The 15,863-nt window shown below is 39.7% G+C and overlaps 1 annotated feature.

Annotated features, from left to right (window-relative positions):
• Positions 7,594-8,227: an enhancer, noted in NCBI's record as "NANOG-H3K27ac-H3K4me1 hESC enhancer chr6:100802848-100803481 (GRCh37/hg19 assembly coordinates)". NCBI's record gives its function as "activates a minimal SCP1, AML or CMV promoter by ChIP-STARR-seq in naive H9 embryonic stem cells {active_cell/tissue: H9 hESC(naive)}" and the evidence as "EXISTENCE:reporter gene assay evidence [ECO:0000049][PMID:30033119]".

Raw genomic sequence — 15,863 nt, forward strand, 5'->3', positions numbered from 1 at the left:
TACAAGTGACAATTTATACATTCATGTAATTTGTAAAAATCAAATCAGTATAACTGGGATATATATCACTTTAAATATTTGTCTGTTCTTTATGCTAGAAACATGCAAATTATTCTCTTCTACCTATTTTGAAATATACAATAGATTATTGTATGTAGTCATTAAACTGATCTCTCAAACTCTAGGCTTTATTTCTTCTATCTAATTGTATATTTGTACCTATTAATCAACTCTCTTCATTCCCCCTCCCCCACCTCCTGTTTTATCACTTCAAAATATGATCATAACTCAAACTGATATAGCAAAACTAACTTGACAAAGTAATCAAAAATAAGACCGATTAATATATAATTAGGAATTCAATGTGTACATGTAAATAAATACTTCTAAAACATTCAAAAACCATTTTTTCTCAACTAATTTACTCCTCCACAATTTTGTGCACACTATTAATTTTAAATTTTAATGTACTGAGATTTTAAGAAAATTTTTAACTCAGTTTTCTCCTAAATAATAAAAATTTCCACATATGAGAAACCAAATCCATAAGCTTTGGGGGGCTTCTATACGCTCTTTTGCATTCTGCTCTTCACACTCACATCCCATTTAGAGCCTTGCTCTTAGGTGTCGATTAATTCCAAAGCTGGCTGGGCACATGAAAGTGTGCAGACATTCAGTGCTCCCACTGGAAGGTTACCTCACAGCCCAAAAAATAAACATTTGCATTCTCACTTAGAGAAATAGAAGAGGATGAGAGAAGAGAGCAAATGAAAGTAACTTAAAAGGTGTTATAGCTTTTTAAATGTTCAATCATTTAATCACTACCTTAACAGAGATGTGTAAATTATACTTATTAATACTAAAGAAAAGACTGCCTTGGCTATAACATGATTTTGTTACATATTATAAATAAACTTTTGTCTGTTGGAATTGTTTTGTGCAAAAGTAAGTGAGCCACATGACAGCATTCGTGGTTTTAACAGAAACGTTTTCTGCTGGTGGAAGCTTCTGCTAGAATGTTACTCACACATAAACCACAAGTGCATTTTTTGTTACTAGGGAAAGTAGAACAGATATGGTGTTAGACTTTGCCTTCCTTTAAAGCCCAAAGAAAGAAAAGATTTCTACTGCCTTAACAGTTTGAAAGCAAGTGAAACAAGCTTTACTTCCCATAGCATTCTTCTTGTTTAGAACATTATGCAATTCAAATTCACTTTGCAGAAAATAAAACCAGAACATTTAAGAGAAGGAGGGAAAGGATCCTAGAAGAAAAGACTGAAGGAAGCCATGTGTCATTAATTCAGTTATAAATTATTAGCTGAAAGCAGCCTCTCAGCATTTGTATTTGATGAACAAAAATTGATTGCTTCAAGGGCATTTCAATCCTTTTGATGTTCCCATCTTTTAGCCCACCACAAATCTGAATCCTTAACAGAATGATTATAGCATTATAGTAATCCTGAGAGCCAATACTAAAGGATTTGCAAGAGCAATGGAGATCAATAGTTTGAAAAAAGAATGTCTTTTTGAATTGACAGCGCTGTCTCGCCTGATCGTGAACCTGAACAAAATAAGTGGAGTCTAAGTACACAAGCAATCTCACAGGCCAAGCTGAGCTGCTGTGATGAGCCAGTTCTCTGAGAGCTTGAATAGGCCTGAGCGCTGAATATTTCTAAAGGATTAAACCCAAACTAATGGCAACCCAAAGATATTTTGCAAACAATCAGCTTTCCCCCAAAATGGTTAAGATAATACATTATGGGTCTTGGTTTGGTATTCAAAAGACTGAGTTCAGCTACAGGTTCAACATTTGCTTTTGCATAGAGTTTGAGATTATGGGAAATTGGATTAGCAGCAACGTTGTCTTAATGGCCATCTCCTTTGGGCTACTTTGAAATTGAGAATCCCCGCAGTATTCCAGGATGGACTGGAAAAACTACATCCTTAACACGTAGCATGTTAGAAAACCCAATGAGCCAGAATTGTTTAAAGACACAATTGCCCACATCTATGGGATTTTCAAGTTGTAACATTACTTGATACCTCAAAAGACAGAGAAAGACAGCTGACTATTAAAGGCTTCTTGAACAATTCAAGGATTAGCATAAAATTATACATAAAGGAGAGTAAGTACAGCAGAGGCACTTGCTCACCACAGTAGGGGCATTGTTAGGAAACGCAAATGGACTCAGTGAAAGTGCGAAGGCATCTTAACATTGTCTGAGGGCCCGCATGTTTTAACATTGATGTATATATTTTCCAGTTCTTTGTTGCCTCAACAAGAGGCCAGCTTAGTCCACTGGAGAAAGAAGTCAGAAGACTTCAGATGGCACACATCTGGAGAACATCCCATGGAAAATTGTGAATGGCTAAGTAATCTCTTTCAGTACCAAGACAAGGAGTGGTAATTTATGGTTTAACAGACTACAAAACCTGCCATTAATTCTAACATACAAACTTTAAACCAATGATTTGGAAGAGTAAAATACACAACAACAATTAACAGAAGGAAAACAGCCATCCTGAATGACACAAGTTTCACACTTTCAAAGATTGAAAAGAAAAGAAATCCTTTCTCTAACCGAGTTTATGTTTTCAGCCACCACACAAGACAGCCTTGCCGGCCATTACACTGGTGGGATGGTGCTGATCCTCACATTTCTGGCATCTAAAAGAGTGGCTCAAATTAAAAGCATGTTGAAGTTACAATCCTTGAGAGGTGTGCTGGAGCAGGCTTAAACATTTTATTTGGAGGCTATGCATGATAACATGTGATCCTTAAAGTTAACCTTTTCTTTCAAGCTGTTTAAAATGTTTTGTAGCTGTTCTTGTCTAAATGAATCAAAAGAAGGATAAGCAGGAACTAGCATAAATAATAGCTGCCTTAAAAGGGGGCAGCAAAATTGATAGCTCTACAAATGGCAGCCACCTGTACCAGGAAAACTCAAAGAAAGAGAATAAGCATTTGAAAGAAAGAATAATTGGAGTTGTGACAGCAAAGAATAGCAATCACTCCCCAGAAGGTGTTTAAAAAGCTCTTCTCTCTCCTACTTAATCACTGTTCCCTTAAGCCCATAAATTAAAATGCAATGTGTATGTTATATGCATTATGAGCATGAATACTCATGTAATCTAAAGAATCTTAGCCCAGCTTGTTTTCATACTACCAGACTCAATTCCATAAATAATATAAGAACAACAAACTCTTACAGTGAACCGTTCTGCATTACATTATCTCACAATTTTATTGAATTGTATTGATAGTCTGTTAAGACTCTCATATTAGTGCATAAACAAAGACTTGATTTCTCTAACTAAAAAATTATCATTCTTTCCTTTAGAAAAGGTATAATGGATACATCACTAAATGTGAAAGAAATTTATAAAAGAATAAAGTACTCGTTGGCAATGTATCCCTGAGAACTTAAATGGTACACATGATGGATGATGGAGTGAGTCAAATGATAGCTTTGTTGTATTAAAAGAAAAGAAGTCCGTTGTTGGAAAAAGAAATGCACAACCTTCTAATTTTTGAAAGAGTAAGAAATATTCAGCTCTAAGTCTTTAGTAAATTAATAATTCAATCCAACCAACTTGACTGACATCAACTGGCCTTGTGGTAGGGATTCAAAAATAAAACACTTGAAGGAGCTTGAAATCTAGTAGGGGTGATCGTTGTGCCCTTGAAATGTGCCTGTGCTATCGCAGAAAAATGTACATCGTCTTTGTCCTTAGGTTCCTGGCACAGAGTTCCTAAAACCGTTGGAATTTCCTGAGTGATAAGAATGGCTTTTATTATTCATAAGGAACCCCTTTTGATCCTGTCAGAGTTTATGCTAATGAAGTAACTTGCAGTGGGGTCCCTAGATAGACTCAGGATAGGGCTAGTCACTAGGAAGACCAAGTGATTAGAACTGGAACTTTCATTTCCTCCCACCAACATCCGGGAAGAAGAAGGACACCTAGAGATTAAGATCTATAAAAACTCTTGACATGTGATGAGCTTCTGGTTGGCAAACACATGGAGGTACTGGAAGGGTAGCTCCCTGGAGAGATCATGGAAGCTCTGCACATACACACCCCAGCTCCTATATATTGCCCTATGCGACTCTCCCGTTTGGCTGTTCCTGAGTTTTCCTTTATAGTAAACTGGTAAATACAAATAAGTACTTTCCTGAATTCTGTGAGCCATTCTAACAAATTATCAAATCTGAGAAGGGGGGGTCATAGAAACCCCAATTTATAGCTGGTCGGTCAAAACACAAGTGGTAACTCAGGCTTTGTGACTGGCATTTGAATTGGGGGGGTCAGTCTTGTGGAGTTCAGCCCTTTAACTTGTGACATCTGACACTAACTCCAGGTAGATAGTGTCGGAACTGAATTGAATTGTAGAACACCCAGTAGAGAAACAGTTCTATTAGTGCCATTAGTATTATGGTTTTATTATTGCCAATGTCACCTAAAAGCTGATCTGATTTTCTATAAATACCTATAATTTCAAAGGACTTTTAGCATCATTTACAAGTGAAAAAGCTATATGTAATCAGTTAAAGAGCAGGGCAAGCCTAGCAACACTATGCAACATAATCTTCCCCAAATACTTCCCTTAGAAGAATACACAACAAAGGTTATATGTTTGTTTGCCTGGTGGGCAGCAAGTCAACATCCAAGACATTGAGGATGGCAGCAGAGAAAGAACTGAATGGGGAGGTAGAAGAGAACCTCAACTCCACCTCTCCAAGGAGCTGGTTCTAAGGATTTTAAAGGATTTGCAGGGGACCGAGGTGTGAGGACTGTTAATTAGTTGAAGAGTGTAGAGTGAAGTCATGAGAGAGAGAGATGAAAAAACTTATTCTTACACTGATGCGGTTGCTCTGTGGGGGTCTATAAATTGGTTGGCATCAGTCATTCCACTGGAATTCAAGATCTGAAGAACATCTTAAGCAATTCTTAAATATAAAGCCTTATAATTCTAACATCAGTGATCCTATCTATAAGACCAGTGGGAATGCAAATGGTCAGTATTTAGTGATACATGACTTTTGGTTACAAGGAAGAGGGCCAAAGTACAACCTGATTAATACATAATTATAACTGTATTTCTGTCGAGAACCCGGCATGTAATCCCTGTTAACCCTGTGAGGATGGTTTCCATAACATGTTCCAAGGAACACTAGTCCCAAAAGATGTTCTCTACAGAAAAAAGATTCCATGGTTAATTAGTTTAGGAATTACTAAACTATACACAGATTAGAGAATCACAATATATATCATTATATAAAATCGCTTGTGAAAAAAATTATTTAATGAAGAAAAGAGCTTAACTCTCTTTAAATTCAGTATTGCAGCACAGCATGTCTGAACATGCAATGCCTTTATTCCTTACACCATTAACATCCTTGAAAACAAGAGTTCTCGGGAAAATACTTTGGGAAATTTCTGTGGATCATCCTCAAGGACCAGTTTCTGAGCCAGACCAAAGCAGTGATTTCCTTTGCTCTGAGATTCTATCTCAATTGATACCAGAAACATTACATCACTTTTTTCTTTCTTAAGCTTTTATTTTAAGTTCAGGGGTACATGTGCAGGTTTGTTACATAGGTAATCTTGTGTCATAGGGGTTTGTTGTATAGATTATTTCATCACACAGGTATTAAGCCCAGTACCCATCTGTTATTTTTCCTGATCCTCTCCCTCCTCCCACCCTTCACCCTCTAATAGTCCCTAGTGTCTGTCATTTCCCTCTATATGTCCATGTGTTCTCATAATTTAGCTCCCACTTAGAAGTGAGAACATAACAGCATTTGGTTTTCTGTTGCTTTGTTAGTTTGCTAATGATAATCTTTCTTAAACATGAGTTAGCACAAACCATTTCAAATATTCTTCACAGATTTAGAGACATCCCTCAAAACCTGGGTTAGAAATAAATGAATTAATCAATTATTTCTTAAACGTTCAGCACAACTATAAAATTAGACTAATTCCAAATTTACATAACTAAAGAAAATGAACCGTTCGGTGTTCCAAATGTTAACAAAAATTTAACTGGTTGAAACACACATGGAGATTGAGTTTCACTGCATAAAAATAGAACAGCAATAGAATAACAGAAGGCCACAAAGGAGTGGCAGGGGCCTGTGGGTGATGGCAGTGGACTTGTGCACTTGATTTGAGATCATCGCTGATGAGAACCAGGAGTCTTTAAGGTGTTTGGATGCTTCTCTGCTACGTTAAATGAAAACAGCATTAGTTATATAGATGGAGAATTCTTCATGAAACTGAAGGCCAAGAATGCAACTGGACTGCACACCAGGAAGCATCCTGGAGGTCAGCTGTCTTCTAATCTCTCTAAACTGCATCTTGGCTTCTTTCTACCGTCTACTCCCTTCCTCTCTCTCTCTCTCTCTGCAGACAGGCCTTTCTCCACTCCTCACCCATGACTCATGGCAGCCTCTGGCCTCCAGGTCTACATGTTCAGCCACATGAAGTAACTAGAGGTCTAGTTTCAAAGCCAAATCATTGAAAGAAACAATGTGTCTGGTCCGTTGCAGATCAGGTGTCTTGACAACGCTGGCTAAAGACAGAAATAAAGATGCACATAAAGATGACCTCCAAGAGCCCACCCTGTGAAGCTGAAGCGTAGTTAACCAAAGAACCAGAGATAGCCCATGGATGAAGGAATGCTCTCCGAAAATGTCCACTGAAGGTATTGAAGCTGTGGTTTAGCAATTTATTATTTCAGAAAACAGACAGGGTTATAGTCTTATACATGTAGGAAGACTGGCAAATGCCATTACTAATACTAATAATGGAAAGGCACGATGAGCAAATTAATAGAAAAGCAGAATTGCAGTGGTAACTGGAATATCATTATCTCACTTCAGAGGAGAGGCAATGAGAAGCTTTTTCACTTCTTGTCTGATAACACAAACCAAATTTTAATAAGAAAAATGGGTTTTTTTTGTTTTTTGGTTTTTGTGGGTTTTTGTTTTTTTGAGATGAAGCCTCAATCTGTCACCCAGGCTGGAGTGCAGTGGTGCGATCTTGGCTCACTGCAACCTCTGCCTCCCAGGTTCAAGGGATTCTCCTGCCTCAGCCTCCTGAGTAGCTGGGACTATAGGTGCATGCCACCACACCCGGCTATTTTTTTTTTTAATTTTTGTATTTTCAGTAGAGACAGGGTTTCATTGTGTTAGCCAGGATGGTCTTGATCTCCTGACTTCATGATCTGCCCACCTCGGTCTCCCAAACTGCTTGGATTACAGGCGTGAGCCACCACACACAGCCAAAAAATGCTTTAAACATTACCTTTAAGATATGTTTCCGAGGGAGGAGCCAAGATGGCCGAATAGGAACAGCTCCGGTCTACAGCTCCCAGCGTGAGCGACGCAGAAGACGGTGATTTCTGCATTTCCATCTGAGGTACCGGGTTCATCTCACTAGGGAGTGCCAGACAGTGGGCACAGGTCAGTGGGTGCACGCACCGTGCGTGAGCCGAAGCAGGCGAGGCATTGCCTCACTTGGGAAGCGCAAGGGGTCAGGGAGTTCCCTTTCCGAGTCAAAGAAAGGGGTGACAGACGGCACCTGGAAAATCGGGTCACTCCCACCGGAATACTGCGCTTTTCCGACAGGCTTAAAAACCGGCGCACGACGAGATTATATCCCACACCTGGCTTGGAGGGTCCTAAGCCCACGGAGTCTCGCTGATTGCTAGCACAGCAGTCTGAGATCAAACTGCAAGGCGGCAGCGAGGCTGGGGGAGGGGCGCCCGCCATTGCCCAGGCTTCATTAGGTAAACAAAGCAGCCGGGAAGCTCCGACGGGGCGGAGCCCACTACAGCTCAAGGAGACCTGCCTGCCTCTGTAGGCTCCACCTCTGGGGGCAGGGCACAGACAAACAAAAAGACAGCAGTAACCTCTGCAGACTTAAATGTCCCTGTCTGACAGCTTTGAAGAGAGCAGTGGTTCTCCCAGCACGCAGCTGGAGATCTGAGAACGGGCAGACTGCCTCCTCAAGTGGGTCCCTGACCCCTGACCCCTGAGCAGCCTAACTGGGAGGCAGCCCCCCAGCAGGGGCACACTGACACCTCACACGGCAGGGTATTCCAACAGACCTGCAGCTGAGGGTCCTGTCTGTTAGAAGGAAAACTAACAAACAGAAAGGACATCCACACCAAAAACCCATCTGTACATCACCATCATCAAAGACCAAAAGTAGATAAAACCACAAAGATGGGGAAAAAACAGAACAGAAAAACTGGAAACTCTAAAAAGCAGAGCGCCTCTCCTCCTCCAAAGGAACGCAGTTCCTCACCAGCAACGGAACAAAGCTGGATGGAGAATGACTTTGACGAGCTGAGAGAAGAAGGCTTCAGATGATCAAATTACTCTGAGCTACGGGAGGACATTCAAACCAAAGGCAAAGAAGTTGAAAACTTTGAAAAAAAATTTAGAAGAATGTATAACTAGAATAACCAATACAGAGAAGTGCTTAAAGGAGCTGATGGAGCTGAAAACCAAGGCTCGAGAACTACGTGAAGAATGCAGAAGCCTCAGGAGCCAATGCGATCAACTGGAAGAAAGGGTATCAGGGATGGAAGATGAAATGAATGAAATGAAGCAAGAAGGGAAGTTTAGAGAAAAAAGAATAAAAAGAAATGAGCAAAGCCTCCAAGAAATATGGGACTATGTGAAAAGACCAAATCTACGTCTGATTGGTGTCCCTGAAAGTGATGGGGAGAATGGAACCAAGTTGGAAAACACTCTGCAGGATATTATCCAGGAGAACTTCCCCAATCTAGCAAGGCAGGCCAACGTTCAGATTCAGGAAATACAGAGAACGCCACAAAGATACTCCTCACGAAGAGCAACTCCAAGACACATAATTGTCAGATTCACCAAAGTTTAAATGAAGGAAAAAATGTTAAGGGCAGCCAGAGAGAAAGGTCGGGTTACCCTCAAAGGAAAGCCCATCAGACTAACAGCGGATCTCTCAGCAGAAACCCTACAAGACAGAAGAGAGTGGGGGCCAATATTCAATATTCTTAAAGGAAAGAATTTTCAACCCAGAATTTCATATCCAGCCAAACTAAGCTTCATAAGTGAAGGAGAAATAAAATACTTTACAGACAAGCAAATGCTGAGAGATTTTGTCACCACCAGGCCTGCCCTAAAAGAGCTCCTGAAGGAAGCGCTAAACATGGAAAGGAACAACCGGTACCAGCCGCTGCAAAATCATGCCAAAATGTAAAGACCATTGAGACTAGGAAGAAACTGCATCAACTAATGAGCAAAATAACCAGCTAACATCATAATGACAGGATCACATTCACACATAACAATATTAACTTTAAATGTAAATGGACTAAATGCTCCAATTAAAAGACACAGACTGTCAAATTGGATAAAGAGTCAAGACCCATCAGTGTGCTGTATTCAGGAAACCCATCTCATGTGCAGAGATACACATAGGCTCAAAATAAAAGGATGGAGGAAGATCTACCAAGCAAATGGAAAACAAAAGAAGGCAGGGGTTGCAATCCTAGTCTCCGATAAAACAGACTTTAAACCAACAAAGATCAAAAGAGACAACACCATTACATAATGGTAAAGGGATCAATTCAACAAGAAGAGCTAACTATCCTAAATATATATGCATCCAATACAGGAGCACCAAGATTCATAATGCAAGTCCTGAGTGACCTACAAAGAGACTTAGACTCCCACACATTAATAATGGGAGACTTTAACACCCCACTGTCAACATTAGACAGATCAACGAGACAGAAAGTCAACAAGGATACCCAGGAATTGAACTCAGCTCTGCACCAAGCGGACCTAATAGACATCTACAGAACTCTCCACCCCAAATCAACAGAATATACATTTTTTTCAGCACCACACCACACCTATTCCAAAATTGACCACATAGTTGGAAGTAAAGCTCTCCTCAGCAAATGTAAAAGAACAGAAATTATAACAAACTATCTCTCAGACCACAGTGCAATCAAACTAGAACTCAGGATTAAGAATCTCACTCAAAACCGCTCAACTACATGGAAACTGAACAACCTGCTCCTGAATGACTACTGGGTACATAATGAAATGAAGGCAGAGATAAAGATGTTCTTTGAAACCAACGAGAACAAAGACACAACATACCAGAATCTCTGGGACACATTTAAAGCAGTGTGTAGAGGGAAATTTATAGCACTAAATGCCCACAAGAGAAAGCAGGAAAGATCCAAAATTGACACCCTAACATCACAATTAAAAGAGCTAGAAAAGCAAGAGCAAACACATTCAAAAGCTAGCAGAAGGCAAGAAATAACTAAAATCAGAGCAGAACTGAAGGAAATAGAGACACAAAAAACCATTCAAAAAATTAATGAATCCAGGAGCTGGTTTTTTGAAAGGATCAACAAAATTGATAGACCGCTAGCAAGATTAATAAAGAAAAAAAGAGAGAAGAATCTAATAGACGCAATAAAAAATGATAAAGGGGATATCACCACCGATCCCACAGAAATACAAACTACCATCAGAGAATACTACAAACACCTCTACGCAAATAAACTAGAAAATCTAGAAGAAATGGATAAATTCCTGTACACATACATTCTCCCAAGTCAAAACCAGGAAGAAGTTGAATCTCTGAGTAGACCAATAACAGGATCTGAAATTGTGGCAATAATCAATAGCTTACCAACCAAAAAGAGTCCAGGACCCGATGGATTCACAGCTGAATTCTACCAGAGGTACAAGGAGGAGCTGGTACCATTCCTTCTGAAACTATTCCAATCAATAGAAAAAGAGGGAATCCTCCCTAACTCATTTTATGAGGCCAGCATCATTCTGATACCAAAGCCAGGCAGAGACACAACAAAAAAAGAGAATTTTAGACCAATATCCTTGATGAACATTGATGCAAAAATCCTCAATAAAATATTGGCAAACAGAATCCAGCAGCACATCAAAAAGCTTATCCACCATGATCAAGTGGGCTTCATCCCTGGGATGCGAGGCTGGTTCAATATACGCAAATCAATAAATGTAATCCAGCATATAAACAGAGCCAAAGACAAAAACCACATGATTATCTCAATAGATGCAGAAAAAGCCTTTGACAAAATTCAACAACACTTCATGCTAAAAACTCTCAATAAATTAGGTATTGATGGGATGTATTTCAAAATAATAAGAGCTATCTATGACAAACCCACAGCCAATATCATACTGAATGGGCAAAAACTGGAAGCATTCCCTTTGAAAACTGGCACAAGACAGGGATGCCCTCTCTCACCACTCCTATTCAACATAGTGTTGGAAGTTCTGGCCAGGGCAATTAGGCAGGAGAAGGAAATAAAGGGTATCCAATTAGGAAAAGAGGAAGTCAAATTGTCCCTGTTTGCAGACGACATGATTGTATATCTAGAAAACCCCATTGTCTCAGCCCAAAATCTCCTTAAGCTGATAAGCAACTTCAGCAAAGTCTCAGGATACAAAATCAATGTACAAAAATCACAAGCATTCTTATACACCAGCAACAGACAAACAGAGAGCCAAATCATGAGTGAACTCCCATTCACAATTGTTTCAAAGAGAATAAAATACCTAGGAATCCAACTTACAAGGGACGTGAAGGACCTCTTCAAGGAGAACTACAAACCACTGCTCAAGGAAATAAAAGAGGATACAAACAAATGGAAGAACATTCCATGCTCATGGGTAGGAAGAATCAATATCGTGAAAATGGCCATACTGCCCAAGGTAATTTACAGATTCAATGCCATCCCCATCAAGCTACCAATGCCTTTCTTCACAGAATTGGAAAAAACTAAAGTTCATATGGAATCATAAAAGAGCCTGCATCGCCAAGTCAATCCTAAGCCAAAAGAACAAAGCTGGAGGCATCACACTACCTGACTTCAAACTATACTACAAGGCTACAGTAACCAAAACAGCATGGTACTGGTACCGAAACAGAGATATAGATCAATGGAACAGAACAGAGCCCTCAGAAATAACACCGCATATCTACAAGTATCTGATCTTTGACAAACCTGAGAGAAACAACAATGGGGAAAGGATTCCCTATTTAATAAATGGTGCTGGGAAAACTGGCTAGCCATATGTAGAAAGCTGAAACTGGATCCCTTCCTTACACCTTATACAAAAATCAATTCAAGATGGATTAAAGACTTAAACGTTAGACCTAAAACCATAAAAACCCTAGAAGAAAACCTAGGCATTACCATTCAGGACATAGGCATGGGCAAGGACTTCATGTCCAAAACACCAAAAGCAATGGCAACAAAAGACAAAATTGACAAATGGGATCTAATTAAACTAAAGAGCTTCTGCACAGCAAAAGAAACTACCATGAGAGTGAACAGGCAACCTACAAAATGGGAGAAAATTTTCACAACCTACTCATCTGACAAAGGGCTAGTATCCAGAATCTACAATGAACTCAAACAAATTTACAAGAAAAAAACAAACAACCCCATCAAAAAGTGGGCGAAGGACATGAACAGACACTTCTCAAAAGAAGACATTTATGCAGCCAAAAAACACATGAAAAAATGCTCATCATCACTGGCCATCAGAGAAATGCAAATCAAAACCACAATGAGATACCATCTCACACCAGTTAGAATGGCAATCATTAAAAAGTCAGGAAACAACAGGTGCTGGAGAGGATGTGGAGAAATAGGAACACTTTTACACTGTTGGTGGGACTGTAAACTAGTTCAACCATTGTGGAAGTCAGTGTGGCGATTCCTCAGGGATCTAGAACTGGAAATACCATTTGACCCAGCCGTCCCATTACTGGGTATATACCCAAAGGACTATAAATCATGCTGCTATAAAGACACATGCACACGTATGTTTATTGCGGCATTATTCATGATAGCAAAGACTTGGAACCAACCCAAATGTCCAACAATGATAGACTGGATTAAGAAAATGTGGCACATACACACCATGGAATACTATGCAGCCATAAAAAATGATGAGTTCATGTCCTTTGTAGGGACATGGATGAAATTGGAAAACATCATTCTCAGTAAACTATCGCAAGGACAAAAAACCAAACACCGCATATTCTCACTCATAGGTGGGAATTGAACAATGAGATCACATGGACACAGGAAGGGGAATATCACACTCTGGGGACTGTTGTGGGGTGGGGGGAGGGGGGAGGGATAGCACTGGGAGATATACCTAGTGCTAGATGACGAGTTAGTGGGTGCAGTGCACCAGCATGGCACATGTATACATATGTAACTAACCTGCACAATGTGCACATGTACCCTAAAACTTAAAGTATAATAATAAAAAAAAAGATATGTTTCCACTTCAAAATAATTGCTAACATGTTCTGAGACTGTATTCTAAGCCTTTTAGGTGTAGTAGCTCAATTAATAATCCAGCAACCCTATCTATGATAAGGTATTAGTTTCATCTCCACTTTACAAATGATGCAACTGAGGCTTAGAGTGATCAAGAAAATTTTCAAGGGTCACAGAGCTAGAAAATGGCAGAGCCAGGGCTTCAACCAAAAAAACCACACTGGAACCCTCAGAATAATAAGTCTGTCCAATCCAGAGTCCAGGAGAGGGAGAAACTGAGGCTGCCTGGAGCTGCATAGTCACATGAATGTTGCTTCAACATTAGTAGGTATCACCTACCTTCCTCATAAAATAAATATACTCAAACTTAAAAATGAAATTTAAATAATTGCACTAACAAAGGCTCAAAACATACAAAATTCACCAGCTACTCAACACTAAACGTTATTGCCTTAGAAAACTGTTAAGCACACATGCTCTGCACCATATGTAGAGAGATACTCATTCCACAGGTCCTGAGAGTTAAATTTTTTCCTCGTTTCATATGAATTGAGAAGAATTAAAAGAGTTTGTGTTGGGGTGAAAAGCTTTCCAGGCAGGTTTTGTTCACTGAAGTTAAAGGACAGTTAATTTTAAAATATGTGCACTTAAGAACAGCGTTTGATCTGCCAACAAATAAACCAAGAATTTTCAGTAAAATGGAAAAAGTTTTAAGGTCTGGAAGTGATATAAAATTGTCTTGAAAAATAAAATGTTTCAGTTGTTTGATAGCTGCTTGGTGCCAGTTCTGATAGACACTCTAGGATCCAGAGATTTCCCAAACCAGGGGCATATGGCAGAGAATTGTTATATAGAGAGGTTTGATCTAGTACTCTACCACCCTGTCAGCATTCAGCAGTTAGTAGATACTTGAATGTTAGTTTTCATCTAGCCTTAGTTGGAAGGAAGAGAAGATCTTGAAGTTCCAAAGCAAAACTTCTAAAGTTCTCTGTGCCTTTCAAAGTCACTGTTGCTACCTCTGCACACACTTCCCAGTAACCTGGGTGGGCTTTCTCATGGATGGGCTCACATTGCTCTCAAAGAGCACAGATGCTGTCAATTAAAGCAATGACTCTCAACGAAACAAGTCTACTCTTAGCTATACTGTTCTGTGCATGGAACTGCCAAGGCAACAAGAATTCTAATAGCTGGGATGGGAAAATAAAAGTTCAAAGATTAGGAGAAGCTACGGCTAGAAACAAATTCAAGGAGAGTGATGTAGGGCTGAACAGCAGCATCCAGTGAGAGCAGAAACCTGAATATGATTATCTCAGGGCTTCCTAAGGGAAGAAACTGACTGGAATGTGAGGGAGAAGAAGGCACAGTGGGAAGCCCTAAAATACACTTTCCTTCTCTGGTCCTCAGCAAATGAGCCTCAACATCATCCCCAGACATCAGAGTTAAGTACCCTGAAAAGCTCCACTTCAAAATAAGAAGGAATATGAGTTAGAGAAACTCAGTTTGTTGAGTATAAATTATTCACAGCCTTATTAGAAATAAAATGTTCTTGTTAATAAAGCACGCTGGTTATCACATATGCTGTGTATGGATTACCGTTTTTCACAGATATGAATGAAAAAAGGACACTCACTGCCTTAAATGGAATAAACTTGGTTTTTTTTTTTCCCTTAATGGTGTGCAGGCCCTTGAGGATCCCATTCTGTACAAGCACAACATCATTTAACATCATTTATCATGCAGCTGAAGATGTGTGAAATTGCTAGTTAACACAATTCCCTTTGATGGTCTGTCAGATTAAAAACCAGTTCTCACTGTTTGCAATATGTGTTCTATATATAAATTAATATATTATAACTGAAGTCAAAACCACAGCTAATATTGACATTGCTGTATTATTAGGCGAGGGTCCATTACATGTTCAGGAACTCCAAGTTGCTGCCTTGCACAGATAACACCCACACTAACCAGCTCCTCGTTTCCCTCCCTCTCTCTCCTTTCCTCTTCTTGAGTAGCTCTTTGAGTACTTTCACATCTTACTCCTTTTTAACTTGGCCTGCTTTCCTTATTATGCCTTTCTTATGTTCCTGTGGGTTAGAGCATATATTCTTCAAATTAGAATGTAAAAATCAGTCCAGAATGAGTCAATCGATAGAATGTGCTAGAATTACTACTGGAATTATAGAGGAGGGAGAGAAAGGAGAGAAGGATTTAACGCTTTGCAAAAAAACCAACCTTCTCTATAAGCAGAAAGCATAACCCATTAGCATTCCAAACAGGCTGTGCAAAGCTTTCAAATGGCAGGGCTGAGCTGGTCCTGCCCCTCTCCCCACACACACACATCCCAGGGGTATCTCCAACCTGGAGCCTCCACACACACGGCTGGCACAGCATCTGGAATTTTATCACCGTTGCAGAGAGAGGATCTGGATGGACCCACTGCTGGTTACTCCAAATTTTTCTCTGACTGAACGGCTTGATATGCATTAACTCGCATGGTATTCTTTGTAGT

The sequence above is a fragment of the Homo sapiens genome, chromosome 6 (assembly GCF_000001405.40).
Source record: "Homo sapiens chromosome 6, GRCh38.p14 Primary Assembly".
Taxonomy (NCBI): Eukaryota; Metazoa; Chordata; class Mammalia; order Primates; family Hominidae; genus Homo; species Homo sapiens.